The sequence below is a fragment of the Homo sapiens genome, chromosome 17 (genome assembly GCF_000001405.40).
Source record: "Homo sapiens chromosome 17, GRCh38.p14 Primary Assembly".
Lineage (NCBI taxonomy): Eukaryota > Metazoa > Chordata > Mammalia > Primates > Hominidae > Homo > Homo sapiens.
Window position 1 is genome coordinate 32,100,540 of NC_000017.11, and position 21,009 is coordinate 32,121,548.

At 46.4% G+C, this 21,009-nt stretch overlaps 1 pseudogene, besides 2 other annotated features; it reads right to left on the bottom strand.

Moving 5' to 3' along the window:
- Window positions 449-1,254: an enhancer, noted in NCBI's record as "H3K27ac hESC enhancer chr17:30428007-30428812 (GRCh37/hg19 assembly coordinates)". NCBI's record gives its function as "activates a minimal SCP1, AML or CMV promoter by ChIP-STARR-seq in primed H9 embryonic stem cells {active_cell/tissue: H9 hESC(primed)}" and the evidence as "EXISTENCE:reporter gene assay evidence [ECO:0000049][PMID:30033119]".
- WDR45BP1 (WD repeat domain 45B pseudogene 1) lies at window positions 9,651-12,155 on the bottom strand (annotated as a pseudogene).
- Window positions 9,762-10,586: an enhancer, noted in NCBI's record as "H3K4me1 hESC enhancer chr17:30437320-30438144 (GRCh37/hg19 assembly coordinates)". NCBI's record gives its function as "activates a minimal SCP1, AML or CMV promoter by ChIP-STARR-seq in naive H9 embryonic stem cells {active_cell/tissue: H9 hESC(naive)}" and the evidence as "EXISTENCE:reporter gene assay evidence [ECO:0000049][PMID:30033119]".

Here is a 21,009-nt window from a genome sequence, read left to right on the forward strand (position 1 = left end):
GGGCACGGTGGCTCACGCCTGTAATCCCGGCACTTTAGGAGGCCGAGGCGGGCAGATCACCTGAGGTCAGGAGTGAGACCAGCCTGGCCACATGGCGAAACCCTGTCTCTACTAAAAATACAAAAATTAGCCAGGCATGATGGTGTGTGCCTGTAGTCCCAGCTACTCAGGGGGCTGAGGCAGGAGAATTGCTTAAATCTGGGAGGTGGAGGTTGCAGTGAACTGAGATCGTGCCAATGTACTCCAGCCTGGGTGACAAAGCAGGACCCCCATCTCAAAAACGAAAACAAAACCCCCAAAAAACAGATAGAGCTGAGATTTGAACCCAGAAAGTCTGATACATGAGTCCGCCCACTTACAATTGCTACATTCTACTGCTTTTCTGAAGAAACTTGAGAGGTAAAGCAACTTGTCCCTTGCCAGTGAATGAATGATGCAATGGGGAATTGAACCCAGATCTGCAAACCCAGCAGTCCTTGCTGCTTCCCTTATACTGAGTGCTGCTGGCCTCAAAGTGTTTCTTGTTCTGTGTTTCTACGTCCACGCTTACAGGGAAGCATGGGTGCAGAAATCACCAGGCCAGTCAGGGAGGCTGGGACGGGTGCTGACCCTAGCCCTGGAGCACTCTCCCTGGCTGCTCCCTGTAGTCTTGCTTCCTCTTGTGAAGTCTATGTGCCAGCCAAGACCCAGCCTGTGAGGCCTGACCTGATCTCTGCCCCCTGTCTGTTCCCCCAGCAAGACTCCCTGAGGAAAAGAATAGGGGATCACGTCTTAGCCATCAGAGCATCGAAGTGCCCAGGCCAAGGTTGGCCACATAGAGGGAGGGCAGGTGGCAAATGTTTGCAGGATGAGTGAATAAAAGGAAAACTGATAGCAAAGAATGGAACTACCAGGCACGATTCCAGGGCTGGGACTAAATATTTACCTTGCCTACTGGGCAAAGATAAGCCTGGTTTTCCAGGCTCTATTTATGCCAGCTTTCCTTCAGGGGCTGACACAGTCAACCTGGTATCGTTAGTTTGAACAGCGGTTTCCACATGTGGAGTCTGGGTGTATGAGGTGCTTGATCCTCAGCTTCTGCCATTCCCTAGCTCCATGTGTCTTCCCCAGGGAATCCGCTTTCCAGTCCTCGAGCCCTAGGAGGCTTTGCACCTCCATTCTGCTGCCTGGTCTGTCCCCGGTCTCCATGAGGCTATTGAATTGGGGTTCATTCTACTCTAGATGAAGCTGTGTATCCTTGTTTAGCCCCTGGGGTCAAGCCACATCAGGAGCTGCTTGCAACATGACAGGACAGACTTGCCTGGGTCTACTGCCTCAGTGGCCTCCTGGGAGACACCTCTCTTAATGGAATAGGGTTGGGTATGACAAGCTGGGTCCAAGTGAAGCTTCAGAGATGTAGAGATGTAGGGGAGGAGGGACTCTTGAGTTCAGTGTGGCAGCCATCACTCAGCCTCTGGGACTCACACCAGGGGCATAAGGAGAATGGAAGCCACACGTGAAAAAGGGAAGGGTGATTTCTTTCTTTCTTTCTTTTTGGGGAGCGTGATTTCTTTTTTTTTTTTTTTTTGGTTGGGGGGAGGTGGGAAGGGTGATTTTTTTTTTGGTGGGGGAGGTGGGGAAGGGTGATTTCTTTTTTTTTTTTTTTTTTGGTAGGGGGAGGTGGGGAAGGTGTTTTTGTGGAAATACGAACAGCTCTGCTTCAGGAAGGCCTTTGTGGAGTGTGAAGGGAGCAGTGAACAACTCTGGCCCCTGGTGTCCAGCCTGGGAGGCGATGCCTAGAGGCAGTGGTCATGTTGGGCGAGGGGTGCCCAGAAGATCAGGCGGTCCTGCTCAGAGGACACCACGTGGTGGCTGAAAGGACTAGTTTAAGAGCACATTTGAGATACCCTCTGGAGGCTGCCATCAGTACTTAGAGGGAGAGTGGGTCTTTGCAGGGGGATAAGGGAGAACCAATGAAACCTGAATAATTACAGCAAGTGAACTTTCACTGAGCCTGAGGCTGCTGTGACCAGGAAAACACAGCCAGCATAGAAGCAGATTCACAGCTGGGCGTGGTGGCTCGTGCCTGTAATCCCAGCAGTTTGGGAGGCCAAGGCGGGCAGATCACCTGAAGTCAGGAGTTTGAGGCCAGCCTGGCCAATGTGATGAAACCCCATCTCTACTAAGAATACAAAAATCAGCTGGGTGTGGTGGTGCATGCCTGTAATTCCAGCTACTTAGGAGGCTGAGGCAGGAGAATCACTTGAGCCTGGGAGACGGAAATTGCAGTGAGTTGAGATCACATCACTGCACTCCAGCCTGAGCAACAGAGAGAAACTCCCTCTGTCTAAAAAAAAAAAAAAAAAAAAAAAAAAAGCAGCAGCAGCAGATTCACGGAGACACACTGCTTGGAATTTGGTGATGTTCAGGGAGTGGGGCTGGAGCTGGCCTATGCTCCAGACAGCCATAAACTATCAACATAAACACAAGTACACCTAAGCCTCTGCAGGCACGGTGCTGATGCTGCCCCCTCCCAATGGGGTATCATCCGGGTGGATACAGTCCCTGGATGCTGACATTTTTCTTTTCTTTTTTTGTTTTTGTTTTTTTTTTTGTTTTTTTTGAGACAGAGTCTCACTCTGTCACCAGGCTGGAGTGCAGTGGCACGATCTCAGCTCACTGCAACCTCTGCCTCCTGGGTTCAAGCAATTCTCCTGCCTCAACCTCCCAAGTAGCTGGGACTAGAGGTGTGCGCTACCATGCCCAACTGATTTTTTTGTATTTTTAGTAGAGACAGGGTTTCACCATGTTAGCCAGGATGGTCTCAATCTCCTGACCTCATGATCTGCCTGCCTCAGCCTCCCAAAATGCTGAGATTACAGGCATGAGCCACCATGCCCGGTCAATGCGGACATTTTTCAAGTCAGCTATGGAGTTTGAATTTTCCTCCAAATTTACACTGGCTATTTCCCCAGTTCAAATTAGGCCTGACTGGTTTCTCTTTCTTTTTTTCTGAATACATATCAGTTTTGGATTGAGGCCTAGCATTTCCACCACCATCCAGAGGAGAGATGAGAAAACCAGAGCTGGGCTCACAATCCCAGGGGAAAAAACAATGGGCTGCTCTGGAATGCTGCAGAATCAGGGTTGAATGAATGCAGGAGAGGGGCAGGCAGCCAGCGGGCATGCCGGCCGCGTGACCAGCCTGCCATGGTATCCAGATGGACATGTGGTATTTGGTTTAAAGCCCACGCTACTGGGGCATAGTCAGCTGGGGATAAATGATCAGACTTAATTGTTCTCTCTTTTCCCAGGAAAGGCCAGGAAGGAAAAGGCCCCAGTTTAAGGGAGAAGGCATTGTCCTCAGTGAGTCTTCACCCACTACTGACTGAAGCATAGTCAGGTAGCCCAGTCTGGCAAGGGGCCGGTGGGGAGCATGAGATTCTCATATTCTCATGGCTGCTGTGGCTGGTGGCCACCTTCACAACAATAGCTCACTGGACCCCTGTCCTTCCCATCCCGCCTCTGAAATGATCACATCTGTGTTAAATCTCTGATAAGATACTATCAGGCACTCCAAAGTCCAGTTTGGAACTAGAGTCCTTGCTTGACTCAATCCAGAGTCCTTTCTCCTTCCCTGGTCCCATCTCCCCATTTACTCCCCCCAAATTCTTCTCTCTGTCCAGCTGCTAAGGTCCCTGGGCCACCAGAGGCAAATAGAATAAACCTAGGACATCACTCTCGATCGAGAGGCCTGCATGACTCTTTATTTGCACCAGAGTTTCTCATCTTCCAGGAACAAGAGGAGGAGCTGCTTTGAGACCCACTTCCTCTCCTTACATAACAACACACTGCATTTGCACAAGTGTCCTTGGTTGTAAAGGGTTCCACATTCATTTTCTCATTCAGGGCTTATTACAAGCCTCTAAGGTAGCTAGGGTCATGGTGACCCTGATCCTTTGTCAAAGATGAGCCCACTGAGGCTCAGGGTGGCTACCGTTGTGCCAGGAGTTGCTAATTGGTGGATCACAGACTCCAGTTCAGGGGGAGGCAGGGTGGTAAAGAAGCAGCTAGATGAACCTGGGTTTGAATCCAGCTCAGAAATGTTCCATCTGTGTGACAGCACAGGCAAGTGACTTAATCTGATTGAGCCTCAGCTTTCTCATCTAGAAAAAGGAGTGATCATGCATCCCTCATAGAGCTGTGGTGAGCATTTACAAACCATGAGTGAAACATGCATAGCACGGCATTTGGCAGATAGAAGTCCAGTACATGTCTAAGGATTAGTACTGATTGATTTTTATAATAGTCACCTGGATGATCTCCAATATGTATATATCAATGTATTTTTAGATCAAAATGGAAATTCAAAAATTTAATAATTTCTGACTATACCCCGAGACTCTGTGGATCTCATCTTTTTATTTTATTTTATTTTTTTGAGATGGAGTCTCGCTCTGTTGCCCAAGCTGGAGTGCAGTTGTGCGGTCTCGGCTCACTGCAACCTCCACCTCCTGGGTTCAAGTGATTCTCCTGCCTCAGCCTCCCAAAGAGCTGGGATTACCGGCATGCGCCGCCACGCCCGGCTAATTTTTGTATTTTTAGTAGAGAAGGGGTTTTACCATGTTGGCCAGGCCGGTCTCGAACTCCGGACCACAGGTGATCCGCCCGCCTTGGCCTCCCAAAGGGCTGGGATTACAGGCATGGGCCACTGCACCCGGCCGGATCTCATCTTAGGAAAAGCTAGTGTGGTGTAGGAAGAGGGTTAAGTTCCAGTGTGACCTGTGCACACCTGAAGGCACAATCCACACCCACCCACCCTCCACCTCTCTGACCATAACTCTTTTGACTCCCACTTCTTGTCCTCTTTGGGTCTCCCTGAGACCCACTGGCTACCCACCCCTTCAATGTCACCAGGTCCACTCAGGGCCTCAGGGCCCTTGCATTTGCTGTTTCTTTTTCATAAAAGACCCTTTCCTCAGGTATCTGCACATCTCTCTCATTTCCTTCAGGTCTTTATTCAAATTCCATCTTTAGTGAGTCCTTCTCAGGCCATCCTTCCTAAAATTTCAACCTTTTCTGCAAGTCATTCCCAAATCCCAACTCTGAACATTATCCTTCCTCCTGTCAGTTTTTCTAAGTACTTTTCTTTCTTTCTTTCTTTCTTTTTTTTTTTTTTTTGATGGAGTCTTACTCTGTTGCCCAGGCTGGAGTCCAGTGGTGCAATCTCAGCTCACTGTAACCTCTGCCTCCTGGGTTCAAGCAATTCTCCTGCATCAGCCTCCTAAGTAGCTGGGATTATAGGTGCCCACTATGATGCCCAGCTAATTTTTTGTATTTTTAGTAGAGACACAGTTTCACCATGTTGGCAAGGCTGGTCTTGAACTCCTGACCTCAGGTGATCCACCATCCTCAGCCTCCCAAAGTGTTGGGATATTAGGCATGAGCCATTGCGCCCGGCTGGACCAGCAGTTTAAATTTGATTTCCTAGCGAGCCTACACAGCATACTTCCTTGGGTGGTCTAGTGCTGTCCATTGTCTTATGCAAATAAATTTTCTTTATAAAATCCTAGAAAGCAATTATTATTCTTAATAAACCATACTAATGTGTCCTTAACTGTTAAAAATTAATACTTCATATATCATTTTCACTTATCAGATATATAACAGATTTTTTTTCCAAATCAGTACTCTGTCACAGATTCAGTAATAGGCAAAGGAAACTAAGTTGGATTAATCTTGAAAGAAGTCATTCTAAAAATCAATGTGGTGCTCAACACATCAAATCAAAATAAGTCTGTAAGAATTCTTACTTGTGAATTGCTTGTGGTTCCTCCAGAGCCTGAGGTATTGGGCCTGCCTGTGACTGTTGCTGTCCTGGGCTGGAATGAAGTAAAGGTTTGCTGACTGGTGCCTATACTTGGTGGAATGATACCCAGGACTTTCTGATGTACTTGAACAATGCCTTAAAAAAAGATGAAGCCATAATTAAAAACTGTCACTTTATTGGAAAGCATTACGTGGTGCTCCATTGCTGAGAAGAAACTACGTGTGGCAGGGTTTTATAGTGGGCTACACAGAATGTGAGATCCGAGGTCTGAAATCAGTGAAACGGAGATGAGAAATAATGCCAACAGTATGATCTGGCAAATGTGAATTAAAACTCTTCACATTTCCCTTACCTCCTTGTGTTGCTGGCACATTTACAGTGACAGTCTTGCTGTTTGCAGGAAGTGGCAGTTTGGTAATTACTTTTCCTGCCATAGTGACTGGATTGCCTGTAATTTGGAACGTCTGACCTGTGCTGGCAATGGTTGTAGCAGATGCCGCAGCTGTGCTGGTGGCTAATGGGGTATAAGACATTTAATAAGCTTCAGATTTAAAATAACCAGCAACGTAGTGACTTCTAGGAAAGGGCACCAATGCATGAAATGTGGCTCATTTTGTATTTTTAATAAAAACATTCCTCTCCACTCAAAGTGAACTACGTAAATGTTGAAAGTGAAATCATGTAAGAGACGAGTTTGCTAATGTAATATTATGAACATTATCTGTAACAAACCATTATAGCTTGTTTGCTCAATCAGCTGCAAAAGAAAAACAATCTTCTACAAAAAAGTTTCATTTCAGTAGCTAAAGGGTTGAAAATTCTTTTTCCTGAACAAAAGTAATCTTTTACTTAATCATAGTTGTATACCTGAATCTGACTGGCCTTGCTTAACACACATAGCAAAGGTTTGATGAAAGTTCTCATTTTGTTGGAATGCTACTGTAGCTGGAGATCCAACTTTAGTAGTTAGTACCATTTTGGTTCCAGTTGTAACTGAGCCACTTATGGGGGCCACCATAACCTTCTGTGCTGGAGAGATGGTACTGGTTGCACTGTTGGTTGAGGAAGTGGTGGAAGTTGCAATCACTGTCAGCTTCTGCTGCTTTAATCATTTCTAAAAAAGCGAGGGAGAGGAAACATGAATCAAAATAGTTCAAAATAAAAACAATACCATTCTACAAGAAGTCTGTCCACAATTTCTCTCACCTTAAGAAACTACACTATATTTCTGAAATATTTTACTTCCAAAAAGAATATATGCCCGTATAAATGTACCTGAGTTTATGGCTGGCCTCAGTGGCTCACGCCTGTAATCCTAGTACTCTGGGAGGCTGAGATGGGCAGATCACCTGAGGTCAGGAGTTTGAGACCAGCCTGGCCAACATGGTGAAACCCTGTCTCTACTAAAAATAAAAAAATTAGCCGAGCATTGTGGCTCATAACTGTAATCCTAACTACTTGGGAGGCTGAGGCAGAAGAATTGCTTGAACCTGGGCGGCAGAGGTTGCAGTGAGCTGAGGTCATGCCACTGCACCCCAGCCTGGGTGACAGAGTGACTCCATCTCTTAAAAAAAAAAAGATTTACCTGAATTTAATTTCTTGATAAAGGCCATATATATATTTTTAATTCCTCCAAGGTACCTATCTATGAAGGCAGTATTTTTATGTCTCTGTATCACATATATTACATTAAAAATACTAAGTTGTTCATAGCAGAAAATTTAAAATGATCAAGTTTTTCTGGCTTGTACAAATATTCAAGGTTTCAGACTGAAAGCAACAGAGATGTGGGTAATCTACTGGAGACAGGAACACCATGCTGCCCAGCAGTGAGATTCAGAGCTGAGAACAAATGGAGCTGCGAAAGGTTTCTGTTTCACTGTAATGCTAATTTTTCCAACTATAGAAAGCATGTCAATAGTTAATGACACTATTATTAAAGTTGGCAAACCTGCAATCAAGAAAGCTGAAAATTATAAAATAGTTTTCCTAGACTTCTTATATTATTCCTTCAAATATTTTTACAGAAAAAATAATTTATACTATACAGAGTAGTATAATATGATCTTTAAAACTACAGTTATTAAAGACACTCTGTATATCCTTTATTATAGATTGCTAAACTTTTCTAACAGCTTATCAACAGTGGTGTGATGAGTAACAGTATAACCTTACACATGTAAAAACAACAGGTGAAATTTACAGCAAACCTGGTGGCAGATGCTTTACCTTCAGTATCTTATAAGCTGAGGAAATGGAGATTCAGAAAGGTTGTGTAACCGGCCCAAGGCCACAGAGCTAGTTAAGGGTGATGCTGGGATGCCTGCTAAAATCAAATTCCAATTCTGCGCTATCTCCTGCCTTTGCAAAGTGCTCACCTATGACATCACATCGAATTTTTTTAGGACTACTTTTGTACCTATCTTATATACCTGAATATAATATAAAGTACATTACACAATTCCTCATTCTTCAGAAGAAAAAGAGTTTAGTTTTCAACACTTAGAGATCTCACCTGATTAAATCAGTTAAAAAAAAAAGAAAAAAGAAAAGAAAGAGGGAGGCAAAGGTGTGTGTGGTAGTGCATCTATAGCTCCAGCTACTCAAGAGGCTGAGACCAGAAGATCACCTTAAGCCTGGGAATTCAAAGTTGCAATGAGCTATGAGTGCACCACTATACTCCAGCCTCAGCAATAGAGCAAGACCCTGTCTCAAAAAAAAAAAAAAAAAAAAAAAAAAGGAGGCAAAGAAATAGAACAGATATTTAGTAGTTATTTACTGGAGGATATGCCTTCAAAGTTGAAGTGTTAGCTATCTTCGTAAAAAAGAATTTTAAATAAATTTTTAAAAGTAATATATTAGGGCCGAATGCAGTGGTGCTTGCCTGTAAACCCAGCACTTTGGGAGGCCTAGGTGGGCAGATCACTTGAGCTCAGGAGTTCAAGACTAGCCTGGGCAATATGGCAAAACTTCCATCTCTACAAAAAATACAAAAATTAGCTGGGCATGGTGGTGCATGCCTGTAGTCCCAGTTACTTGGGAAGCTGAGATGGGTGGATTGCTTGAGCCCACGAGATTGAGAATGTAGTGATCCGTGATCATGCCACTGCATACCAGCAGCATGGGCAACAGAGTTAGATCCTGTCTCAAAAAAAAAAAAAGTTACACTGCAGAAATTAGAAAACACAACAATAAAATAAAAAACAAAACAACTAGCCGGTTGTTATAGATATTTGGGTTTAGTAATGAATTTCCTGTGACAGATAGCATCATACGTAGAATCCAAACGTGCTATCATCTCAAACTTTGATGTAAGTGAAGGACCTATGGTAAACTGAAAGATACATAACAATTTGAAAAAATGTTTTATAAAATGCGAGGGAAGGCCGGGCGCGGTGGCTCACGCCTGTAATCCCAGCACTTTGGGAGGCCGAGGCGGGTGGATCACGAGGTCAGGAGATCGAGACCATCCTGGCTAACACGGTGAAACCCCGTCTCTACTAAAAATACAAAAAATTAGCCGGGCGAGGTGGCGGGCGCCTGTAGTCCCAGCTACTCGGGAGGCTGAGGCAGGAGAATGGCGTGAACCCCAGGGGGCGGAGCCTGCAGTGAGCCGAGATTGCGCCACTGCACTCCAGCCTGGGCGACAGCGAGACTCCGTCTCAAAAAAAAAAAAAAAAAAAAAAAAAAAATGCGAGGGAAAAGTAGTTTGAAACAAATAATTTGGTTTATATGTGATTTTTAGATAGTTATGTATAACTATGTTAATAATATTGTATATAGTATATCTATTCATCTGTATCTTCAATGTTTATATACTGAAGTTGGTAAAAACTTTTTTTACAACAAAATTAGTCACTTTTATTTAAAAGAAACATTACAAATAAGTGTGCAAAATTAAACATCATGATTAAATACACATAAAAGGAACATGCATACTTTACATCAAAATCCACATACAGAGTTAGTTGATTACATGACAGTAACAGTAAAGGAACTGAAGGAACTGGCAAAACCGAGAACTCGCTGCTATGCAGATTTTATATGTTTGCAATCTGAAATCAAAACCATAAAATAGGGTTTCTTTAACGGGAATTTAAGAAAATTAAATATATATCCCAAATAGCTGACAATGTAGAGCCCATAACCTATTTTAGTTACCAAATGTTAAAAAAAGTTATGTGCCTTTCCTTCCTAAAATGTTAGTGTGTAGCTATTCTTACAAATGAGGGGAGGGGAAGACAGTGGACTTGGGGGCTTGGAGGCCAGACCGAGGCATTTCCCTCTACACCAGCGGGAACTGCAGCGGGCACTACAGCGGGCCCTCCCAGATCCTGCTCTGCCAGACGACCCTGAAGTTAAAGGATGTTTTCCCCCATAACGAATGTTCAAAGTCCGTGCGTCACTCTGATGTTCCCTACACATAACCGGGAAACAGATTTAACCCAGAATGTAACCAGGAGACCCCGCGTCCCCGCCCCGCACACGCCTGAGGTCTGACAGCTCGGCTTCTACGGTGGCCTGGTGTCCATCTCATTCTAATGGCCCCAACAGAGACGGGGATGCCACGCAAGGGCACAGACGACATTACGGGCACAGATGACCACATTGCAGGTACGGAGAAGACCACAGGCTGGGCTCACACAAGGGGAAACATTCACGCTGTGCTCTCTCTACAGGGTCAGGTCGTTTTTCTTCATGTTCGGACGGGAGAAGGAATTCCTTTCTCCTTTTCTAAGGCAAGCTGCTGGTGTTCTATTTAAATCTGCTTATAATGTAAGAACTTACATTTGCACACTTGTTCACTTCCCCGCTGCAGACTCAGTAAGAACAATGGAATCTGTTGCAAAAACAAACTTGAACTCATCCACCCTCTCAGCCCAGTTCCCAGGTCCGTATGGAGCCCCCGTCAGCGTGAGGATGCGGTGGAGCCACTGAAGCTAACATCACAGCTGAACTCATGGGAACAGCCAGCGGCCACTCAAGCTGGTCACAGCACTGAGTACCTACGGTGCCTTGATGATGATTCTCTCTTTAATACTGGAAATGGGAGTCCTTAGGAAAGCAGACAACCACCTAAGGCTTCGAGACCAAGGTCCCTGGGCAGCCCCTCCAGCCCGTGGCCCAGGAGGCCCCTGGGGCTCTGGCACCAGCCCCGAGAGCCTGAAGGCGGCAGGTGGTGGGTGCTGTGGCGCCCCCAGCAGGGGAGTCACAACTTGTCATCAGTCATCTCTAGAAACTGCGCGTAGACATCTCGGATGCACTCCCCCTTGGGGTTGAACAGGAGTTTGTAGTAGCTGCAGTCTGCACAAATTGCAATGACGGCGTTTGGCTGTGTTCCAAAGGCACAAATGCACGGAGAGCCTGAGGGAACCTGAAACTTGGAGAAACTCCACTTGTAACTGAAGTATTTTGGAAGGAAACTGGCTGAGGCCAAACTGGACTGTTTATTCCTTTTTAGATCTTCAGCTGCAAAAATATGCACTGTGCCATGGTCGCTGGATACACAGATGAGGGACGCATCCTGATTGAAGTTAATGCAGTAAATATTGGCTGCTTGAGATCCTCTTCGCAGTTCCTGAATTAAATGCCCTGAGGAAGTATCAAATATTCCTATAAGGGTCCCTTTCTCGGATGCAGTTGCAATTCTTGTTCCCTGCAGTTTGAGTGCACTGCAGCTCAGAACACCCTCATGTGCAGGAATGTCCACTGGTGGCTTCTCTGTGCTGGCCAGGTCCACAAGTTGCACATGGCCCGTGTGGTGCCCAGAAAGGCCAGGAGGGAGTTGTTACTATTGGGACAAAGGACACAGAGGCCTTTGGGGTTATAGCAGGTTTTCAAGATGTGCAACCATTGGGGATTGTGTGTGAATGTGAACACCTTAATTACGGAGTCCAAAACCACCACAATTCTATCTCGCCGCAGTTTGACTGCCTTGACTTCTGTAGAAAATTCTGTTTCAATAACAGTCTTCTTCTTCAGGTCATCCCAGATCATTACTTTGTTGGGAGGGTATTTTGGCTTTTTTCCACCACCAATTAAAGCTAAATAGTTGCAGCGAAATAACATTTCAACATGGCCAACTCCTCCTTTAGAAATTCTTGTTTCTCTTTTTCATTTAGTGGATCAGCGTTATAGACTCGGAATCCATTTTCCATCCCACACGCAAAGCATCTGTGGTCCTGGTCGAAGCCAGCGTACAGCAGCCCGTTGCGGTGATGGTTACATGGCAGGAGGTTCATGGCGCCGCCCTGCTGGGTCGCCGTTCCTCAGCGCTGCATGCCGCTCACTGGGGCCGGCGATCTGGTCCCCTCGGGCCAGCGCTGAGGCCGCCGCGGCAGGAAGTGGTAAAAACTTTTATAGTATTTTCTCAATAGGAATAAGTGATAATCATCTTTCTTCCCTGCACACCACCCCCCCAACCCAACAGAGTTTTGCTCTTGCAGCCCAGGCTGGAGTACAATGGTGTGATCTCCGCTCACTAAAAACTCTGCCTCCTGGGTTTAGGCGATTCTTCTGCCTCAGCCTCCCGAGTAGCTGGGATTACAGGCGTGCGCCACCATGCCCGGCTAATTTTTACATTTTTAGTAAAGATGGGGTTTCACCATGTTGGTCAGGGTGGTCTCGAACTCCTGACCTCAGGCAATCCACCTGCCCCGGCCTTCCAAACTGCTGGGGTTATAGGCGTAAGCCACCACGCCTGGCCAGTAATCATCTTTTATTCGGGTGCTCAATGTTCAGCATATATGCACATTGTATTTTTATTTTTTTAATTTTGTTTTTTTCTTTTATTAGAGACAGGGTCTCCCTATGTTGCCCGGGCTGGTCTTGAACTCCTGGACTCAAGGGATCCTCCTGCCTTGGCCCTCCAAAGTGCTGGGACTACAGGCATAAGCCACTGCACCTGGCCATGGAACATTATTTATAGTATGAAAACACTAAGAAACCATCAGTAGCTTTATAATAATCAATTACAACAAACTCTTACGGAGTTTTAGCGTAATTTGCTTTTCTATATACTGCAGAAATTTTCCAAACTGGAAATTCACAAGAAAAAATTATTTTCAGAAATTACTCATGAAACTCTAAAGATAAATAATAGAAATCTTATTTCAGATGTCCTCCAAATATGTATACTTTTTACAAAACCACAGCTTGGTGTATCCACAGAGCTGTTTTCAAATAATGACAATACGATATATGTGAGATAAACTTAAAAAAAAACCAACCTGGCTGGGTACAATGGCTCACACCTAAAATCCCAGCACTTTGGGAGGCTGAGGCAGGTGGATTGCTTGAGTCCCGGAGTTTGAGACTGGCCTGGGGAACATGGTGAAACCCTATATCTATAAAAATTACAAACATTAGCTGGGCATGGTGGTGTGTGCCTGCAGTCCCAGCTACTAGGGAGGCTGAGGTGGGAGGATCGCTTGAACCAGGGAGTCGAGGTTGTGATCTGCTCTAGCCTGGGGGATAGTGCGACACTGTCTCAAAAAATAAACCACAAAACCCACAAGAATATATCATTGTGCATGGGTGTGCATGAATTTGGCTAAAAAATGTAGGTATGTATGTTGTCAAGTAAAAAATGTATGTATGCTATCAAGTAAAAAATGTATGTAAAAGTGGGACCAGTACCAACTCCCCCCGCTGATGGGAAGTCAAGTGCTGCTGTTTTGAAAGAGCCTCCATTTGGGCCTTGACATCCTCTGCCTTCTTCTGTTCACTAACCTTGGCCTGTTGCTCAACTGCTTGTGCCTTTTCTTTCTCCACTCTGCAGGAAAAAAAGGAGAAACTTATCAGAAACTACCCTATTAGGCATCTGGCATCTAATATAAGTGAAGTCTGGTTGACTTTCACATCATACGAAGGGATGATATTATTTCAATATTAAAATAAAACATTTGGCCATGCAAGGTGGCTCATGCCTGTATCCCAGCACTGTGGGAGGCCAAGGCAGGCAGATCACTTGAGACCAAGAGTTCAAGACCAGCCTGGCCAGCATGGTGAAATCCTGTCTCTACTAAAAATACAAAAGTTAGCTGGGGCTGGGCATGGTGGCTCAGGCCAGTAATCCCAGTGGAGTTTGCAGTGAGCCAAGATTGGGCCGCTGCCCTCCAGCCTGGGTGACAGAGTGAGACTCTATCTTAAAAAAAAAAAAAAAAAAAAAGTTAGCCAGTCTTGGTGGCACATGCCTGTAATCCTACCTACTTGGGGGACTGAAGCAGGAGAATCACTTGAACCTGGGAGGCAGAGGTTGCAGGAAGCCAAGATCGCACCATTGCACTCCAGCCTGGGGGACAGAGCAAAACTCTGTCTCTAAAATAAAATAAAATAAAACATTTATGGTAATTAGAAATCGACAAATGGGTAACACATTAAAAATAAGAGAGAGGACCTTACTAAACTATTTACAGCTAGCACTTAAAATCAAAAGTGGAGTAAAGTCAAGCTAGGATACACCCCTCATCTGACTAACGTCAATTCATCCTCCAGACCCCAACACGAATACAACTTCCTCACACTTGGATGTACAATATGTGTTTCCCTATCACCACATAGAGAAGGGGGATTTGAGAGTTACCAACATAAAGGGGAGATCTGAAACCTAAGAATAGATAAAATCTCCTAACAAGATTTAAAAAATAAAAAGTAGGGAGGGACAAGCATTGAAACTTCCCACATACAATCACAAGGAAGCAGCAGAAGGAAATGGAAATGGTAATAGGACCTGGACTGTACAAAGCCACGCAAGCCAAAGAAAAGTGATTTTAGGGGATTGCAGTGATTTGTGTCAAAGGCTGTGGGGTCAAGGAGACTGAAGTCCTGTCAGTTACATCTCCCATCTGTGTCTCTGCCCATCAACAGAGCTCTTTCTGTGCCAGGACGACCTTGTTTTTTGTTTTTTGTTTTTCTTTTTGTTTTGAGACAGAGTCTCACTCTGTTGCCCAGGCTGGAATGCAATGGGGTCATCTCAGCTCACTGCAACTTTCACCTCCTGGGTTCAAGCAATTCTCCTGCCTCAGCCTCCCAAATAGCTGGGATTACCAGAGTACACCACCAAGCCCGGCTAATTTGTGTATTTTCAGCAGAGCCCAGTTTTCACCATGTTGGCCAGGCTGGTCTCAAACTCCTGACCTCAAGTGATCTGCCTGCCTGGGCCTCCCAAAGTGCTGGGATTACAGGTGTAAGCCACCACATCAGCTTTTTTTTTTTTTTTTTTAAGAGATGCTAGAAGTGTGGAATTTTATGTGAAATCTCCCAATTTTCAGAAGTTGGCTTACATTTTTAAAACAGTTTATAGGACAAACAAAACAAGTTTGCAGACTGGAATTGGCGGCAGGCCACCAAGCTGCAGGTTCTGACAGCTCCACTGTCACTGGGAGGCATCTGGAGCTGATTCCAAGCTGCTACGCCCAGCATCAGGAAGCGTCAACTGCATGTTCACCCTCCAGCTTTCGGCTGCCACACGCTGTGTGCTCTAGTTACATGCTCTGACCCGCCACAGACCACGGTGGCCCTCCCCAAGGCCCGGAGTCCATGATGGCAGCCTGACATGGTGTCAGTGAGCTTCAGTAGAAAATGGGTCTCCCCCAACAGTGCAGCAAAAAGCAACAAGAGTTGGGGTGGGGACGTGGGGAACAACATGCTCACATGCAGGGCTCTGAGCTCTGTCCGCTCTGCCTAATTGTTCTTCTCTTGGTCATTGGACAACCCCAGCCCCTGCAGTTCCTGCTCTCCTCAACAGGGCTGCCCAGTGAGAAATGGACCCTGTCTGCTAGAACACTTTACCTTCACAGATGCAGGATTAAATACCCTGGCATCACACAGTGAGGACGTTATTTTCAAGTGTCTTCAACCCTTCTGATGACCTCAAGAAGAAAGTCTAGGCCAGGTGCGGTGGCTCAAGTCTGTAATCTCAGCACTTTGGGACACTGAGGTTGGAGGATCACTTGAGCCCAGGAGTTTGAGACCAGCCTGCGCAACATAGTGTGACCCTGTCTCTAAAATAAATAAATCAATAAATCAATTATTTTTAAAAAGAGAAAGGCTCAGGTTGGTGCCAGTACCTCCTCTCCGCCAGTGTTGATTGCATTTTTTTTTTTTTTGAGACGGACTCACATTGTCACTCTGGCTGGAGTGCAAAGGCTCACTGCAACCTCCGCCTCCCGGGTTCAAGCGATTCTCCTACCTCAGCCTCCTGAGTAGATGGGATTACAGGTGCCTGCCACCATGCCTGGCTAATTTTTGTATTTTCAGTAGAGACGGGGTTTCACTATGTTGGCCAGGCTGGTCTTGAACTCTCGACCTCATGATCCGCCCGCCTCGGCCTCCCAAAGTGCTGGGATTACAGGTGTGAGCCACTGCGTCTGGCTGCATTTTTTTTTAAAGAGATGCAGGTCTGTTTCTGTCACCCAGACTGGACTGCAGTGGCTATTCACAGACACAATCATAGCATGCTACTGTGTGGAACTCCTGAGCTCAAGCAATCCTCCTGCCTCAGCCTCCCAAGCAGCTGGGACTACAAGTGCACACCACCATGCCTGGGTCTGATCTCACTTTTAACACAAAGAGGGCAGGCTTCAGACTCAGAACTTTGAGTTGACTGCATTATCCCATCTGGAATATAATAGTAGTTGAGAGGGAAGCAGGCTCAATTCAATCAGGCTGAGCACCTGCATTCTTTTAATTATATACATTGCAGGGACAGAGCAGGTGTGTGGATTCTGGAGCAAAACAATGGGAGACTGTAAGTGAGTATTTTAGCTTTTTCTTCCTGATAGCTTTATATACACCTGCAGAGTTACCACAGCAACCTAGCAGTGATTGCCTTCCTCCCCCTACCTTTTTTATGTGGCAAAGTTACGGAACATAAAAGTTATCATTTAAACCATTTGGAAATGTGCAAATTACTAGCATTAGGTACATTCACGTTGTTATGCAACCATCACCACCATCCATCTCCAGAACCTTTTCATCTCCAAATGAAACTCCCATTAAACACTAACTCCCCTTTCCCCAGTCCCCTGAGTCCATGGGGGACACCAAGTCAGCCCTCAGCCCTGCTACGGTTTCCTGCACCTCCTGGAACCTCCGTCTCCTTGTTGATAAGCGAAGTGGGATCTTGGTACTTGGCAGGGTTGTGGTGATGACCAAATAAATGAAGCGTGTGAAGCACTTAGCACATAAGGTGAATGTTCAAAGCCTGATGGCTGCCCTCATCCGGCCAGGATCTGCACCTCCCTCCCAAGATCACTAAGTCCATTCCCAGAAGGGAAGCTATGCATTGATTGCAGTGACCCGGTAATGCCTTCTTTCCAGCCCACATGAGCTCTGGCAATGCATCACGTTCAATGCTTGCAGCATGTGGACAGCCTGTGACAACACTCTAGTTTCCAGTGTGAATGTAGATTTCCACTTCCCGCCCACATCCCACCTTTAAAATTGTTGGTTGTTATTTCGGTCAGTTTCTAGGCTGGGAGGCAGAGCCGCACTGAAGAAGTAGACACACCCTTCTCAGTCACCTTCTCATCATCAAGTAGGAACTGAGCATCTACTATCTTTCTCCCTTGAGCAAATGGCTGGACAATACCCCTCAGGAGTAGAGCTCATCAGAGGGAGGGTGCGGGAGGCCTGGGTTCTGAATCTTACCTATCCCTCCTTTGCTGGGGTATTGAGCAAGCCTTTAGTGTGGAAGGAAACAGGTCCCGAGGCATGGAGGACGTGGCCTGGGATTTTCCATATTTCTGTAACAGCACAACTATCACTGCAGCCAGGTCATTTATGATGGCCGCTGGGAGGACAATGAGAAGCAGCTGCTACCTGTGGAAAGAACTGTAGGATTTTAGTTGATGAGAACCACTGAGGGATGTGGCTGCAAAAATAATAAAATAATCTTAAGTCATATCACTAGTGGTAGAGTGTGTAGAAACAAGGGAGGTGAAAGCCCCCACTGCAGTGTGTTGGTCAGATTCCTTGGGGGACAGGGTCTAGGTCTGGGCACATGCCAGGAGGCCTGGCCAAAGGGAGAGATGGTCACTCACTGCCTACTACGCAGGATCATGCTACGTGCTTTACATGTGTTCTCTCATTTCACATCAGGGAAGTCATGTGAGAAAATATCACCCCCATGTAAGCAAGGGAAAACTGGGGGTTACTGCAGTGAAGTAGACTGCACAGGGTCATCCCACCTGGAAGTGAAGGAGCTTGGAATTAGGGCCAGGCCTGGCTGACTCCCAAAGTGTGTGCCCTTGTTGGACACTGCGGCTCCCCTAGAAGCTGGCGTTCCACTCTTTCATACCATGTTACATTCTTCTCTGGGGATCCCCAGATACAAAAGAGAATGGACTCGGCGTTCCTTCCTGTTCAGCAGAGCAGCCCCCACTACTCATTCCCTGCCACCCCTCTAGAATCAGCCCTGGATGAGAGACAGTTGATAGGACTAGGAGCTGAGCTGTGCCATTCTGGGCTTCCCACCCCCCAGGCACAGAAAACAGTGATCAAAATGAAACCACTTGGCAGAACCCTCCTCACTCCCTAGTGACAGAGTGCAGTCACCTAGGCCCATGTTCCCTGCAAAGACGTTGAGGTCCATGAAAGTAGGTCCATCCCATGAGGGGGCATCTGAGAAGACAGGTGGGGTGGTGCTGTGGTGAGCAGCACAGACTCCATTGCGGGACTGCCTGGGCTGAGTCCCGGCTCTGGCACTTTACTGCTGTGTGATTGTGGGCAAGTTGCTTCACCTCTCTGTGCCTTTGTTTCTTCCCAGGTAGAATGGGGATTATTATTTGTACCCGCTTCATAAAACTGACATGAAGTTAAATGTAAGGCACCTAGAATGGTGTCCAGCACATAACCAACTATACTAACTTTAACAAAAAATCTTGGCTGGGCACGGTGGTTCACGCCTGTAATCCCAGCACTTTGGGAGGCTGAGGCAGCCGGATCACCTGAGGTCAGAAGTTCAATATCAACCTGGCCAATATGGTGAAACCTTGTCTGTACTAAAAATACAAAAAATTAGCCAGGCGTGGTGGTGGGTGCCTGTAATCCCAGCTACTCAGGAGGCTGAGGCACGAGAATCACTTGAACCCTGGAGGGGGATCTTGCAGTGAGCTGAGATGGTGCCATTGCACTCCAGCCTAGGCAACAGAGCAAGACTCCGTCTCAAAAACAAACAAACAAACAAACAAACAAAAAAACTCTGTGCACTTCCTCCTTGATGCCATGTAGCCCAGCTGTATATCCATCTTACCCTTTGGAATATGAGCTGCTTAAGGCTGGGACTGTGTCCAATTCTCTCTGTACCCCAGTGCCCAGAGGAGTCCAGCACTTACTTATTGTCTGTGGTGGGCATTGAATTTTCCAAATATTTCTGGTTCCAGGTGCTCTTTCAACCTCTTGCTGCCTCCTGTCTAGAGGTGAGGTCCCTTTCCCCTCCCCTTGAGCCTGGGTGGTGCTCATGTGATTGCCTCAAGAAATAGAATGTGGTGGAAATGGCACTGGATGGCTTCTGAGGCTAGGTTATAAAAGGGATGTAAGTTCCACCTGGCTCTCACTGGGAATGCTCACCCTTGGACTCCAGCCACCATATTGTGGGGAAGCCCAACCCATGTGGAAAAGCCACTTGCAGGTGTTCTAGTCAATTGCCTCAGCTAAGATCTTAGCCAAGAGGCAATATTAAGCGGTAGACCTGTGAGTTAAGAAGCCTTCAGATATTCCAGCCCCAGCCTCCGGGCCACCTGACTTCATGCCGAGTGGAGCAGAGATGAGCTCTCTTCACCTAGCCCTGCCCAACTGGCAGATTTGTAAGCCAAATAAACCCTGTCATTGTTTTAAGCTACTAAGTGGTAGAATAACGTTTATGCAGCAGTAAATAACCAGAACGCCAACTAGCTAATCAGCCCTGGGAGTGTCAGCTCAGCAGATTAACTGTGGTGGCTGGTTGCTCTGGCAACTGCCTCAGCCATCACTTTGGGTAAGTCCAAAACAGAGGGAAGGGGCTGCTGGGTGTGGGGGAGCCGACAAACTTGGGAGCCAGGCTGCTATTATCACCCTTAGCCTGGTTCCACTGCTCCACACATGCATGGCCCTGGGCAGGTCTCTGATTCTCAGATGTGTCCATTATTCAACCCAGCAAGGGCTGTTGGGAGCTTGATCAGAGGTGCCAGACAGAGAGCGATCTGGTGTCTGGTAAATACTGGTTTCTTTCCTGGGGAGGGTTTACAGTGAATGAAGGGGGCTTTGTTCTCTGAACACACGGTGTGAAGGATAAAAGAAGAGCACCAGTGTGGGCCAGCGACAAGAATAAAATGGGCTGGGGCCAGAGGCTGCAACCAGACCAGGTGCGACCTCCATGAGGCAAACATCGCTACCTGCCAGCTCATCATTTGTCCTTCCCAGCTGGTCTAGGAGCTGAACCCAGAGGCAGGTTCATCGAGGAGCTAATACAGCTTGAGCTTCAGGGCCCTTCTCTGCATGAGCAATGTGTTCACATGCTCACAGACTTCTCTAATATTTGCAAAAGTTAAAATGTTTTAAATGGACTGACGCTACCATCTTCTTCCACTCCAACTTCCCCTCCAGCACACTTCCTCTTGAGTCAGGTGGTGGTGGAGAGGCCATGTACATTTTGGGAATCTTGCTAAGGAATTGAGTTGGGCAACATGTATTGTAGGTTTAGCAGGACAGGTCTATGTGGTTCACAGCCACTTCCATGAATGACTCAGTTATTCCCAGCTGTTAGGAATGGCTTCTAGAACACTCCTCTGCCAATTGCGCCAACCCACCTGGATCCAGATGCAAAGATGCAGGGCCGGAGGCTCCAAGGAGCATCATGAAGGAACATGTCCCATGGTGCCTGGCACCCAAAGTACGTGGGCAATGGAGAATAAACAGATCAATGGAAAGACAGAATGGTCATTCTATTTTCTTTATAGAAAATATGTTAAACCCTGGCCAGGCACGGTGGCTCATGCCTATAATCCCAGCACTTTGGGAGGCCAAGGCGGACAGATCACTTGAGGCCAGGAGTTCAATACCACCCTGGCCAACATGGTGAAAGCCTGTCTCTATTAAAAATACAAAAATTAGGGCCAGGCGCGGTGGCTCACGCCTATAATCCCAGCATTTTGGGAGGCTGAGGGGAGCAGATCACCTGAGGTCAGGAGTTTAAGACCAGCCTGGTCAACATGGTGAAA